This window comes from Homo sapiens, chromosome 6 (assembly GCF_000001405.40).
Source record: "Homo sapiens chromosome 6, GRCh38.p14 Primary Assembly".
NCBI classification, from domain to species: Eukaryota; Metazoa; Chordata; class Mammalia; order Primates; family Hominidae; genus Homo; species Homo sapiens.
Genome location: NC_000006.12, coordinates 127,849,400 through 127,869,067, shown reverse-complemented (window position 1 = coordinate 127,869,067; position 19,668 = coordinate 127,849,400). Strand labels below are relative to the sequence as shown.

The 19,668-nt window shown below is 34.3% G+C and overlaps 1 protein-coding gene across 12 annotated transcripts in view; it reads left to right on the top strand.

Annotated features, from left to right (window-relative positions):
• The window catches only part of THEMIS (thymocyte selection associated), a 221,968-nt gene that overhangs the window by 49,528 nt on the left and 152,772 nt on the right, over positions 1–19,668 (top strand). For 11 of the 12 annotated variants that reach the window (XM_047418766.1, XM_047418764.1, NM_001164687.2 and 8 more), the window contains one exon: positions 13,880–14,038. In XM_047418766.1, the coding sequence (XP_047274722.1) occupies positions 13,880–14,038 (159 nt within the window). Of the gene's footprint in view, positions 1–13,879; positions 14,039–17,047; positions 17,173–19,668 lie in introns of those variants that run through there. The other variant, NM_001318531.1, reaches the window with a different exon arrangement.

Here is a 19,668-nt window from a genome sequence, read left to right as displayed (position 1 = left end):
AATGTCTTGCAATGTTCATTCATAGTTATTATCACTTTGCAATCGTATATTTGTATAATTATTTGATTAATATATTTTCTTCTAACACATTAAAATTTCATAAAGGTTCAGAAAACATCATTTGCTCACCAATATATCAGTAGTACATAGCACTGTTATTCTGTTTGGCATATATCATATATTTAATTAATTAGTTGCATAGATTTTTAAAAGTCAACACATAAGCAAATGAAGTTTATGTATTTTTCATGGATCCTCTCTGAAAAGCTAGATTCTACCCTTGCCTGGTATAATAGTTACTTCTCAGCCAACCACTATATGAAAAACAACAGCTTATCGTCTCCATTAAGAGTGCTCCTGAACCATTCCTCTCAACCCTTTAAATTATGACAGATACATCTATACACAATATGAATATTTGTTTGGCACACTGGGAATAAATAGACAAGGCAGCTTGTAGCCAGATATCACCAGCCAAAGCTATGAGTCATCCCATATCCACCTGAGCTGGTCACTTTAAGCAATGAGAAATTCAATATGTTGGCACATCTGTAACCAATTTGTGGCACACCAGAGTTCATTTGTGGAAGGTTGGGAAATGCTGATCTTGAAGGTGTCTTTATCCCCAATCTAAGTCCATCTTCTCCATTCCTTTTTTCTTTTCCTCAGAAATATTGGCAAAGAAAATACCAATTTTTATTAAGGGAAAACAAAGCCCCATCCATAGGAGGACACTGCCCTGCATCTTGATCAAGACAATCCCACCAGCATATGATAGTATTGTATTACACTGGATTATTCAGTCTTAAACATCATGTAAAATAATAATGGTAAAATAATAATAGTTGATATTTATTAAGCCCTAAATAGATGCCAGGGGCGGGGCTATGCACGTAAAATAATTTTATTTGATGCTCAAAAAAGCCATTTGAGGTAATATTATTTTCCTTATGTTAAAGATAACGAAGTTGAGGCACTATCTTTATTTTACAGGTGAAGTAATTACCTGAGGTCACAAATCTATTAAATGGAGATTCTGGATTTGAACTTGACTGTAGAGAAGGCATTCTCATCTGTGACTTTTAACTAGTTAAATGCCTAGGAATGAATGAAGAAAGAAAATTGTGTGTGTGTGTGTGTGTGTTTAATAGTAATTCCTTCAGTGGAGATAAACATCAGTCTTGAAATTTCATTCTACAGTCTCAGACTCAGCAACAGACCTCTTAACTTTGGTGTTTCAAATAAAAATATACATTTTTCCTCGATAAGACAATGTAAAATTTACAGGCATAGCATAGTCTAATTTAAATAATGAAATATACATGCCTTTCCCTCACCTTTTAGGTTAGGCACTGTTAGCTGTTCGCTAACTATATCTGTTCTCCGTTTCTTCTGTAGTATCAGAGTTTCAGCTAAAGATGATATTGTGTAGCTTTCTTGAATCTTAATGTGGCCACTTGATTAAGTTTGGGCCAATAGGTTGTGAGGTGTTTCATGTGTCAAATATCTATTGCAGCTACTAAAATGAATGGAATGTTTTCTCTTCTCCATTTCTCTTTCTCACTAGCTGAAATTCAGACTTGATGGTAGGAGATAGAGCAGTCATCTTAGAACGTAAGATGGGAGATCTGTTGAAGAAAGCAACATAAAAAGTCCTAGATCCTATGATAATTCAATAGAAACCTTGTCTACTTCTCACTAGATTGCTGGTTGAGAGAGAGAAATAAGCATTTTCTTTTGTTGTTTAAGCAACTGTTTGGGGATTTATTTTAGCAGTGGAACTAGGTTTTTCTTTGGTGGGGATGAGTTCATAACCAACTCTTCTATCTACTACTTTGTATCCCAAATAATCAAACATATCAGTTGATATTATAGAGAAATTACTTGCCTAAGTACAGCTGCATTCAAATCAATTGTCTCAAAGTTTTCCCAAGAATACAATGGCTTATATAACTAAAAGAATTCTTTAGGATTTTCCCCCTAGAAGAAAGAAAGGAACAGTCTTTAGAAAAGAGTACCTACATCTCCTTTTCTATAGCACAGAAAACTTTTTTCTTTCTTGGCTACTGAGTTCTATCAAAAGTAAAAAATAAATAAATAAATAAATAAATAAATAAAATAAAAATAAAAATCTTAGTAGCCTTAGCCAAAGCTCTTTGTGCCTGGCATTAGTGTCTACTAGCTTATCAGTTTTTGTTCTTTATATATTTGTGTGTCCCTTCTGTCTCCAGCTACCTAGAATGTAAGTTTCTCAAGAAAAGGGATCTTTTGGCTTTTATTGGTTATTTCTTTGTGTGTATATCTTTTGATAATATCTGGTTTTGTGCTCTGAAATGGATAATATTAGATCTTCAGTAGATGATAGAAATTGTTCAATAAGAGTGATTATTGAGTATTTTTAAATATTATATCTCTCAGTTCAATTTGTTATGAAACTTTATGCATTGGTTTCAAACATACGGAAATATGGGGAGAGTGAGCTCATCCACCAAAGGGCAATTTAATTTTTTAGAATCTTTAGAATTTATTTATTTTAAAATTTCTCAGTGACTCTTTTGAGCATAAAGTTTTAAAATATTTGTCATTCTTCAAAGTAAATGATAATGAAATTCTATCTGTTTTGGACTTGATCTGCTAAGAAAAGCATTCAAAGAGAAAATTTGACTGCAAAAATAAACTATTAAGTAGCATAACTATACAATGATGTACATCAGTATTTGTTTTAGAATTTTTAGTTATTGAATAAAACTATAGACACTATATGTAGCTAGCTTATACTGAATAGTGCACTTTATAAATGAATATGATAAAATTTAATGTATTTTAAGAACAAACTAAATCATTAATCTATCTTTATTCTTTCGATTAAAGACTTCAATAAAACAGAAAACGAAGGAAGAAAAAGCAAAGCTAAAAAAGATATAAGGAAGAAAATCTAAAGTATAAATCAAGTACAATATTTTACAAATATAAGGAGTGTGAGTTACAACACTGCATTTCCACCCAAATGTAAATATTGGAGATTTTCCTCATATTATCAATGCATTTCTGGGACTCCAGGATTCCATTCTGTTACAAATGATTAACCTTATTGAAAAGAACATTCAAATGCTGTGCAACTAATATGAGACTGATACAATTTTTTCACTTAAGTAAAAACCTCACTGCCAAATAAACATAAAATGAATGTGCAAATGATTTTTAACTCATTAAGTGAGGGAATCATTGAGGTGTTAAATCCAGTTCAAACACACATGCATACACACAAGCAAAAGTAAAATCAGAAATGCCAAAATGAATTACAGTATAGTTAAACCTGATTATCAACCTCAAACATATAATGTTAGTGTATCTTTTCTACAAGGCATAGATCAATTACATATCTACTGGAAAAAATCATTTTATTGCAGTGGAAAATAATTGTTTATATTACTATGGATAATAATTTACATTTCTATTAATTTTCTACAAGGCAGTATAAGCTGTATACCTCTGTAGAATCAGATAATTCCCAAAATGTCTGCTAGACAATATCTAGCTCTCTACTGAGAGGATATGTAGTAATCTTTTTTGTACTTTTCAAGTCTTGGACAACTTTTTTCCTGACAAGCTTTAACAAAGTCTTGAAACATGATATTTAGTAAAGGGTTAACTCAGCAGGCTTTGGGTGTTCAAACTTTATGTACATTCCAAAGAAAGGACTGGTCTTGACTGGCTCCTTAGAGATACCTTATAAACCCTTGGATCATCCTGTCCAATGAGTGTTTTGTATACTTTGGACCTTTGGCCACTCTAACATCTGTTAGCATGGATAGCTCATGCTAACAAGGTGATTTTTGGTGGATGTCTGTTTTTTTAGTTTTGTTTGTTTTGTTTTTCACCTGAGGTCCTTGGCCACACTGTATGAGTTTGACCTCTAAGGGGGTGCTGCATATTTAGTAGTTAAGGTCAGTTGTGTGTGCACTCCATGCCTTTGTGATCAACCTCCAGTAAAATCCCAGGACCCCAAGGCTCAGGTAAACTTTCCTTGTTAGCAACAGTTTGTACATGTTGTCACTCATCACTGCTGGGAGAATGATGCCCTGTCCATGTGACTCCACTGGGAGAGGACAATTGGAAACCTGTGCCTGATTTCTCTTGGGCTCTGCCCTATGCACCTTTTTCACTGGCTCATTTTAATCTGTATTGTTTCTCTGAGTAAACTGTAACCATGAGTATAACAGCTTTTCTGACTTCTATGAGTCCTAATCAATCATTAACCTGAGAGTGGATATGCGGACCTTTGATACATATGGATAAACATAATTTTGCTGGACGTTCAGGTAAGTGTTGATGGAGGCCTTCAACAAACAGAACTGAGAGGCTGAGACACTGATCTTGTATCTTCAGGTTGATTTAGTATTTGTTAGGATGGTCATTTGTCATAATCTACAGTGACCGCTTCCTGAATCTGATCACAGGGGATGCTGAGTAGGGTATTTATAGAAATCTCTGGACTTCTGCACATGGTGTCTTCAAATCAGGCCCAACTCATCTTCTCCAGGATGCCTCTCTATTGAACTCACCTCTCTGCTTCCCTGGCACTCTCCCAGAAGATAGTCTAAGATTATTTTATTCCCTTTCAAACTAACTGCAAAGCATAAATTCTATGACCTTCCTCAAGACCTGGCTTTTACTTCTCTCAATAAGAAACAGCTCTTGTAAATCAAAAGCTTTGATTTTAAAACTTTTTTTTCTGATCTGGCACAAAGAGTAGATTTTGGAAGTAAAACACAGTATGCTTTATTTTTTCTCTTTGTACTAAAAAAAAATCCCAATTTTTTTTCAGCAGGGTGGTAAATTCCTTTATGTCATGCACTGTGCCCCCCTTGGTCTATAATCTACTATAGATCATCTTTCATTATTTGACTCTTATATTCATATGAAAAGATTTTGACAATTATGAAAAATATTGTTCAATTTTAATAAAGCCTATCTTGTCAAGACAATTATCTCCCTAAGTCTTCAAAATGTCTTTGAGTCTCAGAGCTAAACAATGACTAAAACTTCCTTTCTTTCCTGGGGAAATAATCCTTATGTCTTGGCTTTAATGGTAGAAGGGACACAGGGGAAGAATCCAGCTATTGATAAGGTATTATTTCCCTACATTTGCTGCTCAAATTTAAGACATTTGTACTTTTTCTACTGTAGGTTTTACTTTGACCATTGATTGGCAAAGCCAAATATTGCTAGTGTGAAACGGCTGGTTATTCCTCACACAAAGATTTTTAGTTTTCTGGCAGGCAACTTCCTTTGGACATCTCTGACAGCTACTATTTAGTCTTTCCTGGAACACTTAAGTACACATATTTTTGAGAAGCAGGATTCCATGTTCCACAACTCCAAGGATGCCATTCACATCCATGTAAGTTGTGGTTCCGGTAGTTTTATAATGGGCAACCTATGCAGTAAACAGTGGCCCTGAATACACTCCAATTGTTTGACAGCTTTGTTTGTTAGAAAGAACAGCTGTCTTCAAACATGTTAAGGCTTCTACGTAGAAGAGTTAAAATAATTGTTTTCTGTATGATTTCAAAGGCTAAACAACTGTTCTAGTGTGTACATCCCAGATAAGCACAGATAAAGGTTAATAAAATGAAGAAATTTTTAACAGTAAGAGCTGCTCAAAAGTAAAGCAGATCACCTTAAGATAAATGGAATTCCACCACTGAAGATGTTCAAATAAAATTTGGACACCTGCTTGATACAGATACTGTATGGGGACTCAGTTATCATAATACATTAATAGGATAAAAGAGTATTTAAATTTTCCTGCTGAGATGCAATGATTCGAGAGATCGTCAAAGTTGCTAGCACTTAGAGATGTAAATGAAATTCAAACTCATTTTATAACTGCCATTGGGTTATATACAATTGTGATTATTATCAAGTTAGAGTTTTATGCCTCAATTCAGACAGCTGACCTGGAATAAATGATTGAATGAGGGGTTCTGTATTCTTCTGCCAGATTTCATTTGACTAAGCCTTTGGGAGTAAATTAGCCCAATTTAAGGATTAAAATCTTTAAAAATATTAGCCAAGGGTGCTTAAAGAAAGCAAGATAAGTCATAGTGCTGGACTGGGCTGGGCATAATTAATACCTGGCATGCCATCTTCAACTGATGGATAGTCACCTAGAACTCGATGTTGAGGATTATTAGGTCATATCTGGATTCAACTCAAAATATACCTTGTATGATTAGTGATGAGAGGGACAAATGGTAGAATATACTGCACATATTTGCTGTCTCTGTCATGGAGACTACTCGGTATGTTATTTAGGTAGAATGCATAGAATTCATCTCCTGGGGCTGGGTGGGGTGGCTGACACCTGTAATCTCAGCACTTTGGGAGGCCGAGGTGGGTGGATCACTTGAAGTCAGGAGTTCAAGACTAGCCTGGCCAACAAGGTGAAACCCTGTCTCTACTAAAAATACAAAAATTATCTGGGCGTGGTGGTGAGTGCCTGTAATCCCAGCTACTTGGCAGGGTGAAGTAGGAGAATCACTTGAATGTAGGAGGTGGAGGTTGCAATGAGCAGAGTTTGCGCCACTGCACTCCAGCCTGGGCAACAGAGCAAAAAAAAAAAAAAAAAAAAAATTTACTCCCTAGGAGATTTCACCTGCTTATGGCTTTGGAACTGAGCTGTATAGGTCCAGCAACTCAAAGCATCCATGGTCAATTAGGATCAGCATTAACTCATACAACTCAGAAGAATATAAGGTAGAAATCAGAATGCCAGTACAATAACTTGCAATTAGAATTATTACTGTCAAGTTGATTAAAATTCCTGTGTCTTTTAGCTAGGGCACTCAGGCTGCTGTGTCATTGAGATAGATGAGTTAATAATACTAATTAAGACTTTGTGTATTAGGTTATAACTTTCCTTTTTCAGGATGTTGAAATTTTACTCTAACTTTCTAACTCCTTGAGACTACATCCTTGTTCCCTGCCTTGACTGTGATCATATGTTTGCACTTAATTCCTTCTGGAAGTGCTTCCAAAACTATCCGTGGTGAAGACCTAATTCATTTTCCTTTTCTGATCCATCATGAATTAGTACTTTGATAAAATACAATAAAAATGAGTTATAAAAATAAAATTTTAAAATGCACAATATAAGCACAATTTCAATTAATGACCTCCAAATGTCTTATTAAAAATTTTAAGCCTTTACTCTCAATTTCCTTTCTTTCTTTCTTTTTTTTCTTTTCTTTCTTTTCTTTTTTTTTTTTTTTTTTTTTTGAGATGGAGTCTTACTGTGTCACCCAGGCTGGAGTGCAGTGGTGCAATCTCAGCTCACTGCAACCTTCACCTCCTGGGTTCAAGTGATTCTCCTGCCTCAGCCTCCCCAGGTAGCTGGGATTACAGGCACCCACCACCATGACCGGCTAATTTTTGTATTTTTAGTAGAGACAGGTTTCACCATGTTGGCCAGGCTGGTCTTGAACTCCTAAACTCAGGTGATCCACCCACCTTGGCCTCCCAAAGTGCTGGGCTTACAGGCGTGAGCCACTGTGCCCAGTCTTTACTCTCAATTTCTAAACTATAATTCACAAGCAGAATAGCTAATGGAGTGTTTAATTAATGCTAACAAAGTTAGGGAAATAGATAATAACATGAAGCTTTATTTTGTATGTATTGTGCGAACACACTGTAATCCATTAGGGTCCCTGTATAATCAATGCAGTCAGTACATTTGTATTCATTAAATGGAAATAGAGAACAAGTTTATGGTTTTAAATGGCTATAGATGTCTATATTAAATTTATTTAACATTTAAGATATAAAATGTAGGCAGAGATGTTGATGTGTATAAAATGTACTTGAAACCAAGTCCTTCCTAAAACAATAAGCCAACTCCCAAAGCAATATTGTTTATACATGAAATTATGATATTATTTATGTCATTTTGAGGGTAAAAATTTGGGTGAAATATGGGAAATATTTGATCAATAATAGTATCAGAAGATGCACAGTCACTGATTTGTTCCACAATCATAGATAAGTGTTCTGTGGATACACAGGAGGGATATTTATTTCATACACACACCCTCAAATCCCTTTGCTCTGATAATGTTTACTCAATGAGCCACAATGATGACTTCTATCATGACAACCACTTGTAAGCCCTCTTAGTACAGTTTTATTTAATCTATTAAATTAATAAATTTACCATTAAACAAATACGTTTTTAGCTAATGCACGAAACAGTGATTTATTCTTCTTCTATCACTGAAACTTAGTCACCTGAATTTCTTACACATCACTCAGAGTGACTGAAATGTTGTTCTTTTCTGGGTTTTGGTCCTAGTACTTATTTAATCTGATTTTATTTATTTATTTATTTATTTTTGGCTCTCAGGCCCCAGCATTTCCAATCTGTAGGAACTTTTATTGCTTCCCCATGTTCAGATGTTTTAAGTAAGACTCACCAACATTTCCTACAGTCTTTTGCATATTTCAGTCTTTAGGCTTGACTTCCTGGATAATACTTAAACCCCCAATTCACGAGAAAAATCCTATATTCTTAGAGGTTAGGGAGATTTTACCTTAGTTCTTAGCACAGCCATAACTTTTCTTATTATGTAATCCCAATGCCTTGCCTTCTTAATACTGATATTTTGGGGATGAGAGAGTCTCTATGGCCTGGAAAGATCATTTCCTAGCATTTCTCAGATGTACCTTTAGTGCTATATCTAGTGTCCAACTGGGAGTATCCACCCTTAGTAAAGCTGAAAGCTTGCTTTTTCGTGTCTACTTATATGTACCCTGCATTAAAATATCATGCTCACTTATTTTTAGACACATTCTTCATAGAGTGGGAATGACATTGTCTCTGCCTTACAGGAAATGCAGACCATCTCTTTGTGGAAGACTGGCCATATAAATGTCTATTGCAACCATGGCCTCTTTTGAACTTCATTCCTGTGGTCGCCTATCTAGAGGTTCATTTGGAAAATTGAATTTATCACCATAATGGTCTCAATGCCACATCAACTGCCATGTCTAGGTACACAATTGCCAATAAAATAGTTTTACACTTAAACATTTCCTTTAGAGGGATGCTCCTTCTTGATAATTTGTGCTATCCTGAAGCAAAAAATAATCACACCTATTTATAATGAGCAAAGTTGCATCTCCACTGGCAACCCCAGTGGATATGGTTCTATCAGACACTATCAGCCATACTTTGCAGATATAATTTCCTAGCTTATAAAAATATATCTCAGATGGTCACATGAGCTCCCTCTTTATGCAAACTTAACTAGTAGAGATTCATATTATAGAACCACTACCCTCATTACTCCTTGTCTAGAGAATTCACAACATAGTCAGCTTGTATATACTTCACTTGTATATTTGATATCAAACATACCAAATAAAGATATAACCCATGCAAAAACCTTTGACTTGACCATGCTTTAAACTCCTTATGTAGAAGGACCACTATTATGTTCACAACAATTAATTGTCATTTTACAATGACACAAAATTATAACAACATTCACTAATCATCTAATAAGTGATAAAAAAAACTGTTTTACTAGCTGTGGGGGAGGTATACATATAGTTAAGATAATGTCTCTTCTCTAGGAAATCATAATAAATTGCAAAATATACATAACACTCCAATTGAAAGAGTGATAATAATCACATAAGGCTTTAATGGAGATACGCATGAAGTGCTATCAGAGCACAGAGGAGAGAATTAATTCTTACTTAGGTGTAGGGATCAAGGAAGGCTTTGAAGAAAATGATAAATATGGGCTGAAGCTTTGGAATTGGTTGGACTTTGACAAGTTAATAAGGATGTAAAGGGATGGGTGGCCTGGTGTAGTGGCAGGGGGTGGTAGGGCAGGCAGTAATGGAGGGAGAGTGCATTTGAGTAAAGGGGAGAAACATCCAATGCAGTTTCCTATTTGCTGACTGTCACACGTTTTTAACTTTGTAGGGAAGATGGAAGAAAATCTATTGAACCAATTGTTTTGGCTGTTCTGATGTGATCACAGCATTGCTTATATGGATTGTCAAACAAGGGATGAGCTCATAAAAGGATATTAATGTGTCGTTTTTATTGAGCAAAGTAGCATTACAGAAAAGGTGATTTCAAAGGCACATGGCTCTTTCATTACAGCCTTCAGGGGCAATGTTTGATCACTGAAAACAGGCTGCTTTGTTCCAGCTTTCTCTGATGTTTGGCATTATTCTGAATACATATGCTTTGACTTGGATAGAATCAGTCTGTAAAGATTTAATAGATTCGAGATTTGCTTATTCAAAATACATGTTTTATGGTTAAAATGAAATGAAAGCCATTTTAATATGTATGTCTATATATACACAGATATATTTCAGACACATATCTCAGCAATTTTTTTAAAAGCAATTACACATATTATGTGTTTGTTTTGAGATAATGAAAGTTGGATATTTTTAAAATTCACCATTTTAACTTATCAAGAAGGAAAAAATATATTTTAAGACACATTATATTGGTGATAATAAAATACAAGATTTCCAGTTTTAGCGACTTAAGCTTTGCTATATGTCCCTGTCACCTATCATAGACATAACTTTCTAGCTTTCTAGTGCTGGACATCTCTGAACACTTTCTTTATTAAAAATGAGTTAACAGCTTTCTTGGTTGAAGAACATTGGAAGTCACGAAATATTAAAGAGAAATTACAAAAGATTATTATTTACATGATAGTCTTTTCCTTATGTGACTGAAAGAAGTGAGCTTTTTTCTTCCAAAAGGAAAGACTTGCTTGGAAAAAGACCTGAAGAGTCAAAAGCTTTTCTTGTGGTGACCAAGACTCATGAAATTTCTTTTTATAGAATTCTCTGGCTTCTATTCCATGTGAATTGATATGAAATCTCACATAAATTTATCTTTTTATTTTGAATTCCAATTGAACCTTTAAAAGAAAGATGACATTCCAACTCAGCCAATTTGATATACATTACATTTACAATTAGATAATCAGTGCACTGAAATTAAGCCCAACAGACTTCAGCTGAAATGGGCTACGTTAGATTATGTTCCATTTAATATGACAAAGAAAAATTTTACTATTTGCTTCTTTACTTAAAAGCCTTCCCTTTCCCTCTCTCCACTTATAACATCCTCTAACTCAATGATGCCCAGTGCTTTCTCTGCTTAACACATTTTCCCCTCTATGTTAGTTTTGCAACAATTTCAAACAGAGACTATATTGTTATCCATTTGTTGCCTAGGCCAATGTTTGCAAACCTTAATGTCCTTATAAATCATCTAGGGATCTTGTTAAAAACACAGGTTCTGATTCAGTAGGTCTGGGGTCTAAGATTCTAACAAGCTCTCAGGTGATGTGGTGGACCAAGGTTTGTATAGCAAACACTTAGAGTACAAATGACCTGTCCTTAAATGTGTTTTTGGACCATGATAACTGGAAATGTAGATTCTGTGACTTTGTGGTTGCTTCATACTTTAAATTGCTTTTTTATTTATTGATAATGAATCAATAATGAATGCTCTGAACCATCAGGACTCCCTCTACTTCCCTAGTCTCTGTTTTTACCACTTCCTCCTTCTTACTTACATTTTAGACATAACAAAGTACTTGAAGTTTCCAGAATGTATCAGGCTCTTTCACATCTCAGTGCCTTTTCAAATACTATTTCCTCTGCCTGTCCTGGTGTCCTGTGACTCTTCCTTTAAAACTCAAATCTGCAGTCATCTCCTCCAGGAATCCTTCTCTAATCTCTTTTTCATGTAATTGCATAATTAAATGCCTTCAGTATACTCCCACATTGCCCTGTATTTCCTTTATTACACCCTTCTCCTAATCTGTTGCAATTGTCTGCTTAATTGTTCTTTCCCTTCAAGACAATGCTTCTGGGGGGAATGAATAATGCATTTTATCTCTGATTCCTATTGCCAATCGCCAACATAGTAGGTTTTTTTTTTTAATCAAAGTTTGCTGAATGAATGAACAGGGGAAGTTGATGTGTTGTAGTCATACAAGAAAGTAATGCAATATTTCTTCTCATGAAGTTTAAAATTGAATTGGGAGTCATAAAAACTGAAACTCATAAAAAATTAAGTATAGGGTGAGATAATACTAAAGATATAAAATGTTAGTATGTGATTAATTGCCAAATGAGGATCATAGCAAATAACCATTCAGAGTCAATTGGGGGAAAAATGTCACTGTGGATTTATTAGTATTTTTAATACCTCAATTTGTTCCACAAAGGACTTGAGCCTGCTGATAACATTAAGCATTAAAGTTAACGAAAATATGAGCACATATGTAGTTAAGGGAATAGTATGAGACAAGGAGAGGGTTATGGAAATATGTACCGGAAGCTTGAGGAATGGATAGACTATCCTTAATATGTATTCTTTAGATGTATTCTTCTTGTCTGCAAAAATGCTTCTTGCTCAGATAAGGACAGTAATGTGGGTGTGCTGGATTTTCATACCCACTCTGCCTGGGAAGCTGACTTCTGTGGGGACATTAGTAGCTCGCTTGTCCTCTGGCTTCTGGCAGAATTTGGCTAATGGGATGCCTATGGAGAAGAGTGAGGTCAGGACATTTATTTTCTTTGGTTGCCTAGAACTGGCTGTGCCTCTTTTTAAAGATGGCCCCTATGATAAACTTCCTGAAATTATTCTAATTTGAGTGTGCCCTGTTACCTATTGGGACTCTGATATGACCTCAGAGTTGTTGTTTAGAGCTAGATTGGATACCAGGCTTACTAACTTTTCTGGCAACCATCAATACCATAAAAATGTTCTAGGTGCATGCTACATATCAGGAACAATTCTATGAGGAGGTGGTTCTACACAGAAAAATTCAGAAAACAAACAAGCAAACCTAAAACGCTGTGCTCATATACTTCACATGTAGTATGGCAAAGACAACGTAAATCATCTTGGAAGTCAGGAAAAACTGATATATATAAAAGCTCACAGCTCTATAATGTTTATTTATACTTGCCTTAAGTTAGTGTTGAATTGTAAAGCAATAATATGCCAGAGATATAGTTTTTGGGTTGTTTCCTTTTCACTGGGGGTAGATTATCCAGAATTTTTGCCTCTGCTCTTGGCTGTTGTTCATCTTGTGGTTATTTTACTCCTCACTGTCCTTCCATCAGGGAATATTAAAGGAAAATAAGTGAATGAAAACTTAGCTGTAGCATCTATGATAAAAGGTTTGTCAAGAAGACGATTGAAATACTGACTAAAATGAAGCTTTTCAGTTTATCTGGGTTGGTCTGCCCCCTATCGCCACAAAGATACTCAGAATGGTTTCTAGCTTGTCAAAAACCAAGAGATAAAAATGGGCAAAAAGTTTTACTTTCATGCTAATGAAGAGAACCAGATCTAATAAATAAATATGACCCTCTTAATGTGAAGCCCTGGTGTGCAGACCCTCTTTTTCATCTCCAATTGTATGACAACCTTGTTTGCAGTTGTTATTTAGATCATTTTTGAGTCATATGAGCTTAATTTTGTGACCCAGCAAAAACAGATCATAAATCTCAGTAGTGGAAGATACGTTTGTAGTTTGACCATGGTAAGATGAGCTGAGGGTGCTGAGGAAATCATAAATTCAATTTACAAAAATAACAAAAATAAGATTTATTTATATTTGGCCCAGTGAATAAAGTGAAAATCTAATATTTTTCTGGTCTATGCTGTACATTTTGCCAAGCTTGATTAAATTCCTGTTTAGCAGGTAGCTAAGAGAGGAACTGAATTAAAACACTTTATATTAAGCTTTTGAGTCTACTTTGTTTTTCACTGTTTTCTTTTTAAAAAGCTGTTTTAACTTTTCTTTCCTTTTAGGCTCTATTTATGAAATGTTTGGAAATGAATGCTGTTTTTCAACAGGAGAAGTGATTAAAATTACTGGTCTCAAAGTTAAGAAGATCATAGCTGAAATTTGTGAGCAGATTGAAGGTTGTGAGTCTCTACAGCCATTTGAACTGCCTATGAATTTTCCAGGTACAGCACATTGCAACCACTTATCATTTGTACAACTATATTGTTATTAATATGTATATATACACAACCAAAAACAAGAAAAAAATGGTCTGTTTTTCACTCTAGGATAATGGGGGGGAAAATCCGGAATTGTTATAGTTTGATCATTTTAAGAACGAATGGAAAGCAACTATTTTCTCCTTTTTTAAAGTGAAAGATGTTTATCTTGTACTTAAGAATTAATCTCTTTGGTTAACAAACATTTAGTGAGTTCCAACTATATACACACCACTAGTTGTGCTAAATAATGAGAACCAAGAAATCAAAGATATATTTTCATAAATTCTGTAGAACTAAGTAACATCATTTAAGCCTATCTACCCTCTTTGCTATTCCTACTGTCATTACTCTAGCTCCTTGGATCACCGTTGACCTTGCCTGTCTAATATTACTGAAAAGTCGGCCTGGTCTTTTTTATCTAATTGACTCTACTCAGCCCTCCAAAACTAGCTCAAATATCATGCCATCTAGAAGACTTTTGCTGACCCTCTAACCTAATCTAGATTTCTCTTTTATGTTCCCATAGTATGTTGGGCCTCATAACATACACCTCACTGGATAGTCATTGATGACTTTCTCATTTGCCATATTTTTTACACTAGGGGTTGGCAGACTTTTTCTATAAAGAGCCAAATAGTAAATCTTTTAGGTTTTGTGGCCAGAGGGTCTCTGTCACACCTATTTCACTATGCTATTTATGTGGTAGCACGAAAGCAGCTCTGGATAATACATAAACCAATGAGCATGGCTATGGCTCAATAAAACTTTATTTACAAAAACAGGTGACAAGCAGGATTTGACTCATCTACTGTAGTTTGCTGACCTCTGCTGTAGACTAAAACTCCTTGACATAAAATATGAACATGTGACTTTGTATTTCTGATACCAAGCACAATTTCTGGCACAGAGTGTGTGCTCAGGAATTGTTAACTGAATGAATGAATGAATGACCAGTGGAAGAGAAAAATCTCATAAATCTTAACAATATGATGTGTTTCATGGTTTGATGGAAGTATACTTGTGTTCTTTGTGGGGCTTGAAAAGGAATATCAGACTATAGTTGGTTGTGTTTCAGAACAGGGATTCTGCAGCCATTGTACTTGAATCCCAGCTCTGCCACTTCTTAGCTGAATAACTTTGACAAGTTATTTACCCTCCTTTCATGTAAAATGGGAATAATAATACTGTCTATCTCCTAGTGTTATTGGGAGGGCTACGTATTGAAATATATTTAGTGTTTAGAAAGGTACATGGCATATAGAAAGGTGCATAAAAAAGTGTCAGCTTTTGTTACCATTATTAAGATATTATTACTGTCATTGGAGGAGTCAGGAAAAGCTTTTTAGGGAATGTTTTAATTGGGCTGAGGTTGGAAGAATGAAAATATATTAGCTATATTGAAGTGAGGATTTTTTCAAGTGCTCTAGTATTCAGTCCCCTTTCAAATGAAACTTTCCACATTGTTCAATTCTATTTCTTTCTTACTCATCTTTTATAACAATGATTCTCAAATTTGGCTGCACATTAGAATCACTTAGGGAGCTTTAAAAAATTCTGATGTTCAGGCCACTTACATGAGATATTCTGATTTGTTTGCTCTGTGGCAAAGTCTGGTCATCAAGGTTTCTTAAAGCTCCCAGTGTGATACTAATGAGCAGCCAGTGTTGAGAACCATTACTTTATAAGATGCCTCTCTTAAGTACTCTAATTAGATGTAACAATTCCCTTTTTAAATCACTATAGTTTTTCGTGCCTTAATCATTGCATTTATCACATTTTGCATGTAATTGAGGCTATTTGTGTACTTGTCTGACTACCACCATCTGTCTAATAGATCACAAGTTTGCTGAGGCAGAATCTGAATCTTATTTATTACAATAATCCCCATGGTATTTAGAAAAAGATGCACATAATAAATATTTAGTAAGTTAAAATGACTAGAATCTTTGGTAGAAGGAATTTTTCTTATTAGAATAGTGAAAACACTTAGTTTTTGGCTAACAGTTTAATTTGGGGAGTTGCTATTTAGAATATTCTTTTGAACTTCCAATTAGCATGATAATCTTGCATCTATTAAGTGACAATTTGAAAATGATGTTTATAAAACAGTTTTATTGTAAAGGACAGAGTGAAAATGGAAAGGTAAAGTGATTGGCACTGGTCAGGGTATAGTTTCTTTCTTCAAAGAGAACTCCTAGATAATGATGAAAGGGATCCCAGATACAGGGATAATTCTTCTACATCAGCACTAAGGAGAAAGATAGAAATCAAAGATACTAATGTTATTCAAAAATTTTAATAGCAGCATCTCTTTATTTATACTATTTTAAAACTATTTAAGTTCCCAATTAGATTTTTGACTTAAAAAGTCAAATGGTATTTTAAAACATTCTTCCTCATTTGTAAATTTCCCAAAATTTCCTTTTGCTATTGATTTCTAATTTTATTCTATTATAGTCAGATGACATATTTTGTATGACTCAATCCTTTTAAATGTATTGAGACTTGTTTTTTTTGGACTAATATATGATCTAGAGTATGTTCTGTATTCACTTGAGAAGAATATATTTTCTATTTTTGTTGGGTAAGTGTTCTACAGATGTCTGTTGGTTTATGTGTATTGTTCAAGTCTTCTATTTCTTTGTGTATCTTCTTTCTAGTTTTAGTCATTGTTGAAAGTGAAGTGTTGATGTTTCCAGCTACTATTGTTGAATTGTTTATTTTCCCTTCAATTCTGTCAGCTTTTGCTTCATGTATTTGCAGGCTCTGATGGTAGGGGTATATGTATTTGTAATTGTTATCTCTTGTTGATGGAGTGACCCTTTTATCATTATATAATATTCTTTGACTCTAGTAGCAATTTTTGTTTTAAAGTCTATTTTGTCTGGTATTAGTATAGTCACTCCAGTTTTCTTTCAGTTAATATTTGCAAGGTCTCTCATCTTTTATTCTTTTACTTTCAAACTACAGACAGTCCCCGACGTATGATGACATGATTATAATTTTTCAGCTTTACCATGATGCAAAAGCAATATGCATTCCATAGAAAGCATACATCAAATTTTGAATTTTGCTTTTACTAACTGCAGGCTAATGTAAGTGTTCTGAGCACATTTAAGGTAGGTTGTGTTTTCAACTCCTTTGGGTAAATACCAAGGAGTGTGATTATTGGACTGTATAGTAAGAGTATGTTTAGTTTAAAGAAACTGCCAAACTATATTCCAAAGTAGCTGTACAATTTTGCATTCCCAAAAACAATAAATGAGAGTTTCTTTTGTTCCACATCCTCACCAGCATTTTGCTTTGTCAATATTTTGGATTTTGGACATTTTATAAGTAGACGCCTATGGTATATCATTGTTTTAATTTGCAATGCCCTGATGGCATGTATTCAGGATATGCTTCTCATATGCTTGTTTGCTATCAGTACATCTTCTTTGGTGAGGTGTCTGTTCAAGTCTTTTGCTCATTTTTTTAAAAATTGAGTTCTTGTTTTTCTTGTTATGTTTTAAGAATTCTTTACATATTTGGGGTAACAGTCTTTATCAGATTTGACTCTTGCAAATATTTTCTCCCATTCCGTGGCCTGTCTTCTCATTCTTTTGAGAGATTCCAAGGCTGTCTTTGATTTTCAACCATTTGATCATCACATGTCTAGGCATGAATCTTTGAGTTTAGTCTACTTGAAGTGTATTAAGTTTCTTGAATGTGTAGATTGTTTTTCATCAAATTTTGAAAGTTTTTGCCATTTTTTAAAAATATATTCTTTCTATACCTCTCTCTCTCTGCTCTCCTTTTAGGAATCCTATTATTCTTATATTCTTATGCTTTAAGGTGACCCATAGGTGTTTGAGACTTTGTTCTTTTCTTTATACTTTTTTTCCTCTGCCCCTGAATGTATAATCTCAATTGCATTTTCTTCACATTTGATTTACGTTATCTATTTGGTAAGATATTATTCTCATACTTTTGTTCTAGTTATGTAGACACGATTTTCTTTAGTTCTTTGTATATATTTTAAATAGCTAATTTAAGTTTTTCTTCTCTAGTAAGTCTGATATCTGGGCTTTCTTAGAGACAGGTTATGTTATTATTATTATTATTATTTCCATAGATTCAGGGTTACAAGTAGTTTTTGATTACATGGATAAGTTCTTTAGTGGTGATTTCTGAGATTTTAGTGCACCCACCAACAAAGCAGTGAACACTCTACCCAATATGTAGTCTTTTAATCCCTCACCCCCTTCCAACCTTCCCCGCTAAGTCCCCAAATTCCATTTATCACTCTTATGCCTTTGTGTCCTCATAGCTTAGCTCCTACTTGTAAGTGAGAAAATATGATATTTTGTTTTTCATTCCTGAGTTATTGCAGTTAAAATAATTGCATCCAACTCCATCCAAGTTGCTGCAAAAGACATTATTTCATTTCTTTTTACAGATGAGTAATATTCCATGGTGTATATATACTACATTTTTTAATCCATTTGTTGGTTGATGGACAGTTAGGTCAGTTCCATATCTTTGCAATTGTGAATTGTGCTGTTATAAACATGTGTATGCATGTGTCTTTTTCATACAATGACTTTTTTTCCTTTGAGTAGATATGCAGTAATGGAATTGCCAGATTGTTCTACTTTTGGTTATTTAAGGACTCTCCATACTGTTTTCCATAGTGGTTGTACTAATTTATATTCTCACCAGCAGTCTAAAAGTGTTTCCTTTTCATGAGATTTATGCCAACATCTATCATCTATTGTTTTTTGACTTTTTTATTATGGCTATTCTTTCAGGAGTAAGGTGGTATCTCATTGTGGTTTTAATTTGCATTTCCCTGATTATTAGTTATGTTGGGCATTTTTCATATGTTTGTTGTTCATATGTGTATAGTCTTTTGAGAAATAGCTGTTCATGTCATTTGCCCACTTGTTGGTGGGATTATTAGTTTTCTTCTTGCTTATTTGTTTGAGTTCCTTATAGATTCTAGATACTAGTCCTTGGTTGGATGCATAGTTTGCAAATATTTTCTCCCACTTTGTGGGTTGTCTGTTTACTCTGCTGCTTATTTCTTTTGCTGTGTGGAAACTCTTCAGTTTAATTAGGTCCCATTTATTTATTTTTGTGGCATTTGCTTTTGGTGTCTTAGTCATGAATTATTTGCCTAAGCTCATTTCCAGAATAATTTTTCTGATGTTATCTTCCAAAACTTTATGGTTTCAGGTCTTATATATCAACCTTTGACCCATCTTGAGTTGATTTTTGTATAACATGAGAAATGGGGATCAAGTTTCATTCTTGTACATGTGGCTTGACAGTTTTTCTAGCACCATTTATTGAATATTATATTGTTTCCCTAATTTACGTTTTTGTATGCTTTGTTGATGATCACCTGACTGTAAGTATGTGGCTTTATTTTTGGGTTCTGTATTCTGTTCCATTGGTCTATGTGCATATTTTCATACAAGTACTATGTTGTTTTGGTGACTATAGCCTTGTAGTATAATTTGAAATTCTGTGAAGAAAGTCATTGGTAGCTTGATGGGGATGGCATCTACTTTAAAGTTCATATGGTACCAAAAAAGAGCCCGCATTGC